Here is a 14179-nt window from a genome sequence, read left to right as displayed (position 1 = left end):
ATTCTTGTTTTGTTTTTTAAAGTCAAGCGCACTTTCTTTTAAAGTAGCTACAGCTTTTAACACTGTCAATTGGTATACTCCTGTTAGCAAAACTTGAAACATGCTTTTTTCCTCTGTGCCTAGTTCCTCTAAAATTCGGAAAGTATGTGTGATTATTCTTAACTTACAACAATATAATTGTTTTACTCAGTGCAACAAAAATGTATTTTCATTTGCAACATAACCCAATAGAATAAGCTGGTTGATTTCCAAAGGCTTTGACTGGAAGAGTGTGCCTTCTTTAATGACTTACGTCTGACTTCTAGAACCAATAAAAGCCCCCTAAGAAACGCAGCCTTATACTTTGTTTACACAGTCCCAATACAGGTTTTCTAATCTGCGGTAAGAGGAAAAAAAAAAAAGCCACTTTCTATCAGGCCTAGGAACCACATGCACTTGGAATCTCAAAAAAATAGAGGAGTTTATCCAAATAACATGTATCTAAGGGTCAAACCTATAGTTGGACTCAGCTTTATAATGTCCTATTTAAGATTCCTTGTAGAATAGAGATTCATAAAAGCCCATGAGGAAAGCACATGTAAAGGTATTTCCCACAGCACTGTACAAAAATATTCTGGCTAAGTGTAGGACAAGTCTGTTTTGCCAACAACCAACTTTTGTCATAATTCGTTCTTAACAAAAATTAGGACTAAAAAAAAGATAGATGTCTCACAGCCTATCACACCTCTATCACTAACTTCTCATCTCATATGTTGTTTTTAAGATGTTTGTACAATATTAATTAACCTTTTTTTTTTTTTTTTTTTCTGTGAACCAACTGGTGAGGTCCAGCTACCGTTCTTGGAAAACAGAAAGATATGAGTAACAGATAAATCTAGAACAATATTCTAATTCTGGGAACTCATTCCACAAATATTTGCAGGTCATAAAAGAAAATAGGGTTTCTGTAACAGAATTTTTGTTTCAAAGGATCAAATCAAGAAAGCTAAATAAATCCAAGTCTCATGTAACAAAATCTTAACAGGTGTAAATGTAGCCACAGTTACACGGGCACGTCAGCAGCCTTGAAGTATTTCAGCTGTTCTTACTCTCCTTGTCTAGTTGTGATATGCTTTTTCTAATAATCCAAACTGGTTTTCTTTTTGTGCCTAAAGTCTATCACACTTTAAAATGTAATGCAAATAAAACCATGCATTAACAGGCCTTTCTTCTACAAACACTTAAACCAACCCTCAGTAGATCCTACATACTGTTTTCTACACAACACTCTTCTCCAGCAGAAAGTATCCAGAAAGACCAATGCCCAATCTCCTAAGAGAAGTTAGAGTTTTCATTTCTGAGGGAGGACAAAGACAACTTAGCCAGCTTTTCCCATGTAAACAGCAAGGAATGGGTTCCTGGAAGACCTCCAGTAAACAAGTAAGGGCCTGATTCCAACATAACATAATAACCAGACCAAAAAAAAACGTGTGTGTACCAGTAAGAGATTTAACACAGAAGGTTGTGCCTGACAGCACAGATAACAGAACCTTCAGTCCATTCAGATAAAATCTTGTACAAACCTCCCACTGATTCAGATGGGGAACCAATGCCTGGCATAGGCTTGTTGTTTTCTGTATACTCAGAGGGCTTTCAGAAAATAAAGTTGTTTTTTGTTTTGTTTTGTTTTGTTTTTTGTGGGCATAAACGCAGTGCGATCTAGCGGGTATTGGATGAAATATTTATTTTTGTATTTCACTGGTTGCTCAACCCATATGAATCATCACTTCAGTCCCTGATTGGTCCTGAGCCAGCATCCCAGAACAAGCTTTTACTTTAGGTCCTGTACCAAGCTAAGCAGTCTTTGCAAATTACCACCTCAGACTGCTCCCAGGCAAAGTGCCTGGGCTAAGCTGTCTAATAGGTCCTGGGCCAGGGCAAAGCTAAGTCACCCATTCTCCAAGACAGCTTGCAAACTAAGTATATATCTTTATTTTTTAGGCCATAAAAACCTTAAACCCCAGTGGACAACTTATTCAAGCTTCTATCTCTGCTGGCAGAGAGCTGCTTTTGCCACTTATTTAAACTTTTGCTCCAAACAGTTTCCTTTGTCTACAGTCCTTAATCTTCTTAAATGTAAAAAAAAGACTCTTAGTGTAATCTCAAATGAAAGAAAGGCTGTTATGTCTTGGTGCATTGTTAAAAGAACAATATTATCTGAACCTATGACACATTTTTGCAGTTTTCTTTTGATGTCAGGGTCTGCTTGAGTAATAAACTTTTCTCTTAAGATTAACTTTATCTTAACCCAATAGGGAGATAGGAACATGTGTTTCACTAAAGCCTCTCTCAGGATTTTAAAAAAGGCTCTATAATTTTTCTGTGATTTTAACCTATTATGAATAGTTTAGAGTAATTATGAAGTTTTGTCCTGTTCACTTATAAGCCTTCCAGTAGGCTCACTAATTTTTTTTTCACTCCTCTATAGGACCAATAAGATTCCAATCGAGTTTTCAGCACTCCGTCCTTTCCTATTACGAATAAGAATTCTGTTATCAGTTCAACTTTTTTTATTCCTTTTCACCCTCCCTTTTTCAAGATTTTATAAAAGACATGTGGTTCATCCATGGATAACTCTGCTCTCTGTAAAGCTGCCTGCTTTAGGGCAACAGTTAGGGGTTGGTTTAGCAGTAATGTATCATCTATTCAGGTATGATTGAACATTTGAGTTAGATTTTGAAATATCTCTGTATATCCACCAGGGTCATCAGAGGACATTTGCTTATCTTTTTCATTTTTTTTTGTCTAAGTCCTTGCAATGAGAAGAAAACTTCTGCTATACTAGTATCACATCTATGGAGTATTTTCTACAGGGGCAACAGTGAGTTTTGGTTTTCCTTAGTGGCACAACAAGACAAGATGATGAAATGGCTATTGGAACTTCTAAATGAGGGTGGCAGGTGTGACATTTAGAAGATAAATTTGAGTGTTCCTCAGGGGCTTGTCTCTGACTTTAATGAATTATCTCTTGAAACTTGCCTGTTATGACTGCCAAGAGGGCAGAGTCATTTTTACAATACTTAGAAAGATCTGGGTTGTCTCCCCAGTCAAAGTAAGGTTGTCCAAAAAAGAAAAAAAAAATCATACTCTTTTCTTTGCCATCTGAAGAAAAGATATACCTGTTGAATAGTACTAAAGCGAACACTTCCCTCAGAAAGCTAGGCATGTCTGTCCTGGAGCTGGTAGGGCTGTCATGCCCTTGAGCAATAAATACATAAATAAGCCACTTTCATTTTTCAGAGTCTCACAGTCAATGAAATTTCTGTGTTTCAGAATGTAATCTAGAGAGGTGCGTACTGCAGACAGTTTGTGAAGTTTCTAAAGAAATATATAAAAAAAATTCCTATTCTCTTTTTCCCCCTTTTGAAATAGCCCTGACTGAATAAAAAGATAGGATATTCCTTGTTTTTGAATTCCTCTTGTCTTTTCTGAGTCTGGTGACTGACATAGGTGTCCCCCATGGATGGAAGCTAAACCTTCACCCACAGTTCTAGAGGATCTAGACAGCAGGACAAGTAACATTTTCCTGCAGAGGCTTTAGCTCTCTACTGGTGACTCTTTGTTGATTTCTTAAGCCTACTCAACCCAGAAGATACCCAGAGTAACTTGGGAGCCTAAAAAAAAGATTATATAGTCATTGGATTCTAGCAAGACACTTGTATAGAGTAAGAATTTTAATACTATTTGTGGCTTCCCTTGCTATGGCCTAGAAAAAATACTGAAATTGCAGGAAATAAGATAGATTGAGTTGAAACATAAAATTCTCCGTTAGTTTAAATGTCAGTGCTGCTGGAGGAAGAAGGTGTGCCTCAAAGCAAGTAAAGCTTGTATGGCTGGCTTTCATAAGACAGCACTTAGCTAAAATATGTCTCTCAAAGACACCTTCTTTCTGATTATTGAAAGTGGAAATTTTCTGTTTACTGATAGGGCACAGAGTTAGAGAGATATAACAGAGAGAGGAATTAAAATCCAAGGGTTTTGTGCAAAGTACTGACAAGGCTTCCCCAAGAGAAAAACCTCATTTTACTAGGTTGCATTTTAAGATCTCAGATATTCCATGAAAATGCTGAATTCCAGGTTTATATAGTCAAAACTGAGAAAAGGAAGGTTAACGCTCCATCGCCTGTCCCCACAGTATGTGTCTCTGCAGAAAAAAGAAGATGTGTCTCACAAAGAAACTGTTTAGATATATATGGCTGTGCTGAGCTTTTTAAAGAGAAATCACCCGCCAAACAGGGAAAATTTATTTGAATGTATGCCATTCCCTACAGTGTCATGAATGTCTATCATCGGCGGACAAAAAGACCCTTATCAAATAAAAATTTTTAGACCACAATTTTGAATTCTTCCTCTTTTGAAAGAAAAAAAAACACAAAATAGCAACTCTTTGAATTATATTTCTACTGACTGACTTTTACCAGTAAGCTTGTATCTCCAGGTCTCAACATGGCATACAAAGAAGAAATAGGAGGGACATTAGCCACACAATGACAAAAAACAAATAAATAAAATGCCACAGAAAAGCCTGGAAATTTTGGTGGCAACACTCTGATGGGCTGTCAGAAACTGGAGTTAGTTTTGAGGCCTTCACGTAACACTGTGGTATAGCCTTAACCAGAAATCTTCAATTAACTTAGATATCCTTTCAGTCCTATGTGACAGCTGGATCCTCTCTGAAAGAAAACAGTTGGAACAGAGGCAACACTTTCAACAGCGGAGGGTGAAAGGAGACTGCCAATGTGTCTCCCAGAATCCCTTTCTCCTAAGCTTTGTAAGAATGGCAGGCAATCCATCGGATTTTACCTGGCACTGGTCCAGAGCTTTGTTTGCTCTTCAGACATTAAAAAAAAAGAAAAAAACAAATAACAAAAACAAACAAACAAAAACTGAGAACAAGCTGCAGATATGAAAGCAAATAGAGGACAAGCTGAAGATATGAATGTAAATAGTTTGGAATGGCACCCCTACTCACTTTTTTTTTCTAATGGATTCTCTGTCACTTAAACTGGAGTCCAGTTGCATGATCTTGGCTAACTGCAAGCTCCATTTCCCGGGTTTATGCCATTCTCCTGCCTTAGCCTACCAAGCAACTGTCACTAAAGGTGCCCACCACCACACCCTGCTAATTTTTTGTATTTTTGGTAGACTTCATGAGGGCTTCACCATGTTAGCCAGGATGATCTCCATCTTGATCTCCTCCTGATCTTCCCACATTGGCCACCCAAAGTGCTGCGATAACAGTCATGAGCCACCATGCCCAGCCCCTACTGACCTTTTTAATTAAGGCCTTTCCAAGTCCATGAACCAAAAACAAACCTTGCTGTCCCCCAGTGAACCACAATGTATCAGTCTCTCATTTTTAGGTGACACACAGATCTTTTTAATTTCAAGAAAATTAAAAATTAGGAATGCAAAAGGTGAGATGATAGTAAATGTTTAATATGTTAACTTCTGGTGGAGTAGAGTCAGTTGCCCACTTTGAGAAAGAGTCTCATATTTTTATGGACTCAGAAGGAAGAAAAGGTACTAACTAGTTTTGAAGAAAGCACTTCTCATCTTTTCTGGGTCCTTGTGCCTGGAACTATTAATGGCGGATGTAATGACTCAGCTTGGCTCAGGAACTTGGCCCTGAGCCACACAAGAGCTAAAGGGAAAGCATGGCCCAGGACCTTGGCCTGGGACCAGAGTCTTAAATGATAATTTACAGAAATTTGGCTCGGAGTCTGAAGTATGTTTAGTAATATAAGGTACCCTTTGTAACACATTGGAGTCCAATATGTACAAGTTCTAAAAAAGAGAGAGACTATTTCCTGGAAGCACTCTGGTTACACAAAAGACACAACATTTTAATGCGGGGTCTTGTTTTTTTTTTTTTTTTTTTTTATCTGAGTAGCTGTGGGCATGTCTTAAGCACACACACACAAAAAGTTGGGCTTTTTTAAAAAAATTATTTGCTTGTGCCACAGGATTGTGCAGGATTCTTAAATTTGTGTCTGCAGCCTGATATTTCAGGCTGTTTCTCTGCTTGCAGAAATTTTACCAATAATCCACCACAACTATGTAGCTTTTCTTTGTCAATACTATTGAAAACCTAGATAGTTTCTGAGAGTCAAAGGCACATTGTTTGAAGTTCCCTATGTGCAAGGCTTTTTGCCCTGTGAAACCACCCACATCTTTGTAAATACTGTAAAATTGTTCCTGCTTTCTTAGCAGTCATATCAGAAAAGCCCACAAGAAACAACTCCCAAACGTCAGAGAAACATTCTCCCTGGAAACACTCAAAACCACATTTGTTACCACAGGTTTTCTCATCTTCTTGATGCAGAGAACCTTTTAGTCACATCATCATCAGCTTTTCCAGTTTTTACATCCAACCCTCCACGTTCCTTACTACCCCTATAGGAAATGCCCAATGAATGAGGTGCCAGTAAAGTGCAAGTTTCTTTTTCATTACAGTACCTTAAACAAATAAAGTAAGACCTGGGGAAGTTTTCTGATACATCAATAAATATATAGAGCCTTTCTAATATCTAGCCCTTTTTTTGGTCTTAAATGGGAAGATGTTACCTTATTGCTGAGCCAAAATCTTACTGCTTCTGACAAATAGCCCTACAGTCAACAGAAAGATGCTGGGCCAAGACGCATTTCTTCTATAGCATGTCATAGTAAATAAAAAGCAGTCAAAGAGAGAAAGAGTGAAGAAAAGACAAGATGCTAATTTCCAGTAGAAAGAGAGACAGAGCCCTTTGAAAACCCTAATTTAAGTCATAGTGATCCCATAGATAAGAAAAAAAAAAAAAAAAAAGAAAAAAGGAAAAAGAAAGCAGGACATTGGCCCTTTAGATACCCCAGCTCTAAACCTTTCCCATGCCAGGGCTAGGATGACGTCCTTGGGCCTTTGCATTTTCTGGCATTTCTTCTTTTGTGGATGCCACTGCATTCTTCAGTGCCTGCAGAAGAGAAAGCTTGTGGTATGCCTGATTCACCTAAAGATTTGCAGGGAGCTGTCACCTGTACCAGCACCTGACCTGCTTACCTCATCACAGATAACAGGCAAAGCTGTGTGCAGTGGCTGGACTGAACCAACACTCACTCATGCATCTGCCTCCAGTCTGTGCCTGGTGCATCCATAGCAAAATGAAACCTAAGCCCATAGTTTGAGCTGAGTGCAGCCTGTAAGATGGGTTTGTAAAATTAGAAAAGCAGGCTCAAGGGAACCTTGCACAAAGGTGCCATCATCCACAGAGGTTCTTGGCTGGTGAAGTGACACCCTAGAGATCTTGTGACAAAGATGACATTCATCACCAGTGGCCAGTGGATTATTCAATTATGTCTATGTAATGGAGCCTCGATAAAAACCAACAAGACAGGATTCATAGAGCTTTTGCATAACTGAGCACATACAGTGTTCTAGAAAATTGTGTGCTCATAAAAAGAGACACTGATAATTGTAAAGGTCATACAAAGTGTAGCGGTGTTTGCTTTGAAAGAAGTTTCTGCCTTTAATAATGTGTCCAGAATTTTAACTTATTAACTAGAACATACACTAAAGTAACCTAAATCTGCACATTCCACACATTAGAACCTGGATATTTCCACCAAAATCATTCCATAATTCACTAATGTGGTGTAACAAGTTTTACTTTAGAGCGATAAAGTTTTCTTTTGTTAACTGGGTAAGAACTAGACATTTATAAAGGAAAAGAAAATCAAGCGATATCTCACCACCAATTCTAGTCATGTGTTCAGTTTAGGAGAATGATCGTCAGTGGATTTTGAGCCATAAGTATTTATGCTAAAAGATAAGTCTCTTATAATTGTGTGTCTCTGAAGCGTTTGTGCCACTATAAAGTCAAGGGCACCATCTCTGATCATTCTGTGTCTTTCTGGGAGGGAAGGCTGCTTTATATCCCAACAGAGGTATTCTAGGATATAAAAATAAGAAAAAATCAACATTATTACAGGATTCTCTGTCACAAACATCTAATAAAACACAACTCTGGTCTTATATATAGTAGTAGCCATAGATACATATTAGAGCTTGCAAGAAGAGTCTGTTTTTATATTTGGGCTTAGGTGTGCATAAAATAATCACATTTGGGCAAAGAGGCTGTTTTGTTACTCCTTGTAAAGCTACAGTGCTTAAAAATGATGTGATAATTTAAATACATAGCTTGGACATTTCCAGTTCTGTTTCCAAGCCTTAGCTATGGGTGAAATTGTTTTGGGCTATGAAGATGGATTAGGGCATCTTGCAACTCATGATGCATTTGTTGCCCCTTAGTTCTTGTGTCCTGAGCAGACAGACTGACAATTAAAACTCATCAATTTTATTTTCAACATACTTTAACATGGATTCTATCCCTTGGGCTGAGCTCCAGATCTTCCTCAGCACCTCACACTCTCTCTCATTGGCCTGTTCCAACTCCAACTTAATATTACAGCGAACGAGGGCCTTACATTCTTCCAGTACAATTGGATTGTATGAGGCAAGCTCCTTAATTTGAATCATAACCTCTTGGGTGAAAGTTCCAGTCAAAAATACCTGAGAGACCAGGCCTTTGGCGCATGCCTCCCTTGCTGTCAGCTTTCGCCCAGCAATTAACATTTCATTGGCAGATGCTTTACCCATCATTTTGGGGAATGTAATAGAAGAACAGCCATCTGGACTCTGTCCAAAGGTCGTATAAGGGGTTTGGAACCAAGCCTTTTCATTAGCCCACACGAGATCACAAAGAGGCAGGATGGATGCACCTAGTCCAATCGCAGGGCCATTGACTGATACAACAATAGGCTTTTTAAATTGAATAAAAGTATTCACAAAGTTCTTGATGGTGTCCACCATTTCAAGGCTTGCTGTGTTTCTGTTATTCCTTAAGTGCTTCACAAAGTACCCAAAATCAAGACCGCAGCAAAAGACACTTCCAGCTGCACTGAACAGCACGAGCTTGCTGTCATCTGCAGCAGCGCTATTCAGAGCATTAACTATTTCTTTAATTACTTCTGTATTCAGTGCATTTTTTTCTGTCGATCTAGTTGATAGCACTATCTGGGTGAATCCATCCTCTTTCTTCACTACAATGTCTCTGTATGTGCTGGCACTTTCTGTTAGCCTTATGGTGAAGTGCATCTTCTTGATAAAAGGCTGGTCTCTGCTGTCATCAGTAATATTTCTTTGCCCACCTTTCACTCTTGGAACTGAGGTATGCATGTCTGTTGTCCCATTGGCTGCTAATGGGTCTATTAATACCACTATACCCTTTCGGGTAGCTGAACCTGTGGCCATAGAAGCAGTAACTGAGCCAGACATCTGCGACATTAGTGGGTGTATCTGAGTCTTGTTCTGTATTCCAGTCTGTTCTGCACCAGGACGTGACAAAGGGTCCCGGAGGAGTTTCCCTTCTGTCACCTTGAAGACCACCGTGTCCTGCTGATCTGCTGCAATAGGGTCCAGTTTCTCAAGTTTCTGAAAGCCACTCACAGTTTTGTGGTCAAAGGGGCTGTCAGGTGCAAGGGTCTCAATAGTTGAATTTATTATCTCCATATTCTTTGTGTCGGAGAGAATTGAAGCTGCCTTTCTCCTAACGTTCTTGCTGGCAGCAAATAACTTGCGGTTTTTGGACCTGTGGTGTTTATCAGTCACTGGCGTTTTAGGAGAGTTCTTAGAATAGTTTGCTTTTGTAGATCTGGAAGTTCTTCTTCTGGCATTGTTTGAAAAAATTCTACTGGTTGTAGTCCATGTCAGTTTTTTCTGTTTTTCAGTCTGTCGTCTATTAAAATCATGTACACATTTTTCACAGTTCATGAGGTGCTGCTCTGGTTCCCAAGTGTCATCCTGTTTGTCATAACCTTTCCACCGAACCAAATACTGTGTATTCCCATTTTTATCCTGTCTTTTGTCAACAATAGCTTCAACCTCAAACTCCTGGGAAGCCATGAGGAAAGACACGGGATTGGAACAGTTGCTGTGCCACCTTTGTTTCAGTTGCGTCTCCACATAGACACTTCTTTCTGCCTCCAGCTCTTCACCAGGTTCTGTGTATGGATGAACCTCTTCTATTTTGTCACCACTGGTGTAGTGAAAATTGTGCGAAATAGCAGCTATGCCATGTGCCTGAACCTCTCCATACTTACTGCCTGGTGGGACAGCTTGGGCTTTGTCTCATGGTGCATGACAACTTGCTCAGTAGCCTCAGGTGAGAGTAGCTAAATCCACAGCCCCAACCCTCTGGTGTAGTACAGAAAGCTTTCTTCCTGCCTGTTACTCTTTTGTGTTTCTTTGTTTAATTGTGGTTGCTATGACGATTATATGGAACATTCTAATGTTATAACATTTTTAAAGTTACACTAGCTTACCTTCAGTAACATACAAAGCCTTTACTCCTGTATAATGTACCTCCATTATTTCACTTACTGAGTTCTCAAAATTATACCTTTATTGATTTTATGTCAAAAACACAAATTAGTGGTAGTTTTTTTATTAAATATATTTGTGTTTTAAGTTATGTGGAGAACAAATTGTGGAGGTGCACATTGTTAATTGTTCGTTTTGTTTTGTTTTGTTTTGTTTTGTTTTGAGATGGAGTCTCGCCCTGTCAATGAGGCTGGAGTGCAGTAGTGAGATCTTGGCTCACTACAAGCTCCACCTCCCGGATTCATGCCATTCTCCTGTCTCAGCCTCCCGAGTAGCTGAGACTACAGGCACCTGCCACCTGGCCCTACGAATTTGTTGTATTTTTAGTAGAGACGGGGTTTCACCATGTTAGCCAGGATTGTCTCGATCTCCTGACCTCGTGATCCAAGCACCTCAGCCTCCCAAAATGCTGGGATTACAGGTGTGAGCCACTGAGCCCAGCCAAATTTTTTATCTTACATATTTGTTCATGTATTTATCTTTACCTTAATCTTTGTTTGTTCATACTGCTTTTGAGTATCTGTCCATTCTACCCTGAAGTACTCCATAAGACATTTCTTAAAGGGTAGTCTACTTGTAAAAGGTGCCAGTTTTTATATGGGAATGTCATAATTTGTCCCTCACCTTTGATGGACAGTTTGGTGGATCATAATGTTTAGGCTTGACAGTTTTTTCTGACATCACTTGGAATATATGAGGCTACTGCTTTCTATCTCAGTTTTCAGATAAGAAATCTACTGCTTTTCGGTGGTTATTCAGATAAGTGATCCACTGGTTATTTTTAGGGTCCCTTTTACATGACTAGCTACTTCCCCTGCTTCCCTTGAAAATCCTCAAGGTTCTCTTTGTATTTATTTTAGACAGTTTAATTATCAGGTAAGTTTGAGTTTGTTTCTTTGAGTTTTTGTTACTTGGAGTCTGTTGAGCTCCTTGGGTGCTTACTTATTGTCTTAAATTGTTGCATTCTTTATGACTATGTTGTTAAATAGTATCCATGAGTTTTTGTCTCTTCCTTGGAACTTCCAAAATGCATATGTATGGCTGCTTGATGGTGTCCCTCAGGTTTCTAGGCTGTATAAATCTGCCTTGCCCCTTTTCAGACTCCATTGGTGACCACTATATGGTTGACTGACCCGAAGGGTGTGTATCACAGTGTGGGGACAGTGTGTCAGTTGGTCTCGCAAGGCTGATGCATCCCAGAGCTCAATTCCCAGACTTCAATCATTGCAGTCTCATTAGTGCACTACGACCTAGAAAACTCTAATTGTGAGATATCACACAGAGTTCTTTGTCTCATGGCCAAGAAAATTAAGGAGGATGGATGCAAAAAGGTTGAATCAAAACTTTTATAAGTGAAAGTAAAAAACTCTTCACAGTGGGGGTGGAATGTGAGTGGTTTACCTACTATGAGGCTGTGCTTTACAGTTTCTAAGGACAGAGAAGTAAAGAAATGTGGTTAGTGTTCTTGGAGTAGGTGTCATTTGGCTTGGCCCTGAAACTTGGCCTTGGATTCATCTGGAGCTGAAGTGATGATTTGTAGAAGCTACAAGGCTCAGCCTTGGAACTTGGCCCTGGACCAAGAAGGAGCTGAAGTGACAGCTTGGCCTGAGACCTTGGCCTGGGATCAATCAAGGGATGAAGTAATGTCTCATGGCCACAATAATTAAGGAGGCTGGATGATGCAAAGTTCAAGTAGGAACTAAAGTAACACAACAGCCATCTGGACTCTGTCCAGATGTCATATAAGGGGTTTGAAACCAAGGCTTTTCATTAGCTCAGAAGAAATCACAAAGAGGCAGTGTGGATGCACCTATTCCGAAGGATGGGCCACTGACTGATACAAAAACAGGCTTTTAAAATTGATTGAAAGTATTCACAAAGTTCTTGATGGTGTTCACCATCTCAAGGCTTGTTCTGTTTCTGTCCTTCCTTAAATACTTCAGAAAGTACCCCAAATCGAGACCACAGCAAAAGACACTTCCAGCTGCACTGAACAGCACAAGCTTGCTGCCACCCACAGCAGCCCTATTCAGAGCATTAACCATTGCTTTAATTACTTCTATATTCAGTACATTTTTTATGTTGATCTAGTTTATAGGCACATCTGGGTGAATCTGTCCTCTTTCTTCACTGCAATATCTCTGTATGTGCTGGCACTTTCTGCTAGGCCTATGATGAGGTACATCTTCTGGATAAAAAGCTGGTCTCTGCCACCGTCAGTAACATTTCTTTGCCCAACTTTCACTCTTGCAACTAATGTATGCACATCTGTTTTTCCATTGGCTGCCGATTGGCCCATTAATACCACTATACCTTTTTTGGTAGCTGAGTCTGCAGCCATGGAAGCCGTAACTGAGCCAGACCTCTGAGAAAATAGTGGGTGAATCTGGGTCTTGCTCTCTATTCCACAATGTCCTGCCCTGGGATCTGATAAAGCCCTGATGATCTTCCCTTCCTCCTCCTTGAAGACCACTGTATCCTGCTGATCTGCTGCAATAGGGTCCAGATTCTAGAGTTCCTGAATGCCACTCACTGTGTTCTTGTTGTTAAAAGGGTTGTAAGGGGCAAGTGTCTTTCTTGATAGTTGAACACAGTAGCTCCATATTCTTTGGGTCGGACAGAGGTGACCCTGGATTACTGCTAACATTCTGGCTGGCAGAACATAACTGGCTGCTTTTGAATTTGTGGTGTTGGCCAGACACTAGCGTTTTAGGAGTATTCTTAGAAAAGTTGGGCTTGGTAGATGTAGAAGTTCATCTTCTGGTATTGTTTGAAAAAGTTCTAGTTGTTCTGGTCCATGCCACTTTTTTACTTTTTCTGTTTTTCAGTCTGTCATCTGTTAAAGTAATATATATATTTTTGACCGGTGCTGCTCTGGTTCCCAAGTGTCATACCGTTTCTTCTTAACCTTTGCAACACCAAAAATTTTTGTTGTTGTTGTTGTTGTTTTGTTTTGTTTTTTTTTTTAGACAAAGTCTTGAGCTATCACCCAGGCAGGAGTACAGTGGCACAATTGCACAATCTCGGCTCACTGCAACCTCCACCTCCTGGGTTCATGCGATTCTCCTGCCTCAGCCTCCCGGGTAGCTGAGATTAGAGGGGCCTGCCACCACGCCTGGCTAACTTTATGATTTTTAGTAGAAAGAGGTTTTCACTGTATTAGCCAGAATGGTCTCCATCTCCTGAACTCGTAATCTGCCCGCCTCAGCCTTGCAAAGTGCTGGGATTACAGGCATGAGCCACTGTGCCTGGCCTCTGTCTTTCCATTTTTGTCTCGTCTTTTGTCAACAATAGTTTCAACCTCAAACTCCTGGAAAGCCAGGAAGAAAGACACAGGATTGAAGTAGTTGCTGTGCCAAATTTGTTTCATTTGCATCTCCACATAGCCACTTCTTTCTGCCTCCAGTTCTTTACCAGGTTCTGCGTATGGATGAGCCTATTCTATTTCATCACCACTGACGTAGTGAAAATTGTTTGAAATAGCAGCTATGCTATGGGCTTTAGGCTCTCCACAATTATGCCCTGGTGGGACAGCTTGGGCTTTGTCTCATGGTGCATGATAGCTGGCTTAGTAGCCTCAAGTGAGAGTAGCTAAATCCACATCTCTTACTCTCTGGTGTAGTACAGAAAGCTTTCTACCTGTCTGTTACTCTTTTTCTTTTTTAATTGTCATTGATACTGTGATTACATTGAATATTCTAAAGGTATTCCACTTTTAAAGTTATA

General features: G+C 39.8%; 1 protein-coding gene and 1 pseudogene across 4 annotated transcripts; both read right to left on the bottom strand.

The window, feature by feature from the left end:
• CDY1 (chromodomain Y-linked 1) lies at window positions 6908-10304 on the bottom strand. 4 transcript variants are annotated; one of them, XR_938657.3, is made up of 3 exons: window positions 8385-10302; window positions 7765-7964; window positions 6908-6989 (listed from the first exon to the last, which is right to left on the bottom strand). XR_938657.3 is itself a non-coding variant. In XM_011531512.3 (2 exons), the coding sequence occupies exons 1-2, from the start codon at window positions 9974-9976 to the stop codon at window positions 7944-7946; spliced, it is 1413 nt and encodes a 470-aa protein (XP_011529814.1). In that variant the 5' UTR covers window positions 9977-10304; the 3' UTR covers window positions 7517-7943. The 4 variants fall into 4 exon arrangements, 3 of the variants coding, with proteins under 3 accessions (XP_011529814.1, NP_004671.1, NP_733841.1); XM_011531512.3 differs by lacking the exon at window positions 6908-6989 and having other exon boundaries at window positions 7517-7964; window positions 8585-10304; NM_004680.3 differs by lacking the exon at window positions 6908-6989 and having other exon boundaries at window positions 7517-7964.
• On the bottom strand, window positions 12165-13774 carry CDY20P (chromodomain Y-linked 20 pseudogene; annotated as a pseudogene).

The sequence above is a fragment of the Homo sapiens genome, chromosome Y (genome assembly GCF_000001405.40).
Source record: "Homo sapiens chromosome Y, GRCh38.p14 Primary Assembly".
Lineage (NCBI taxonomy): Eukaryota > Metazoa > Chordata > Mammalia > Primates > Hominidae > Homo > Homo sapiens.
The sequence above is the reverse complement of the archived record's forward strand: the minus strand, read 5'-3'. Positions and strand labels throughout refer to the sequence as shown.

What these genes read in the sequence shown, in the direction of transcription:
- CDY1 (NM_004680.3), bottom strand. Translation starts at nt 9,976, where the DNA reads ATGGCTTCCCAGGAGTTTGAGGTTGAAGCTATTGTTGACAAAAGACAG. An exon ending in GGGATAGAATCCATGTTAAA is followed by an intron (nt 7,965 to 8,384) that starts GTATGTTGAAAA and finishes TTTATATCCTAG; the next exon opens with AATACCTCTGTTGGGATATA.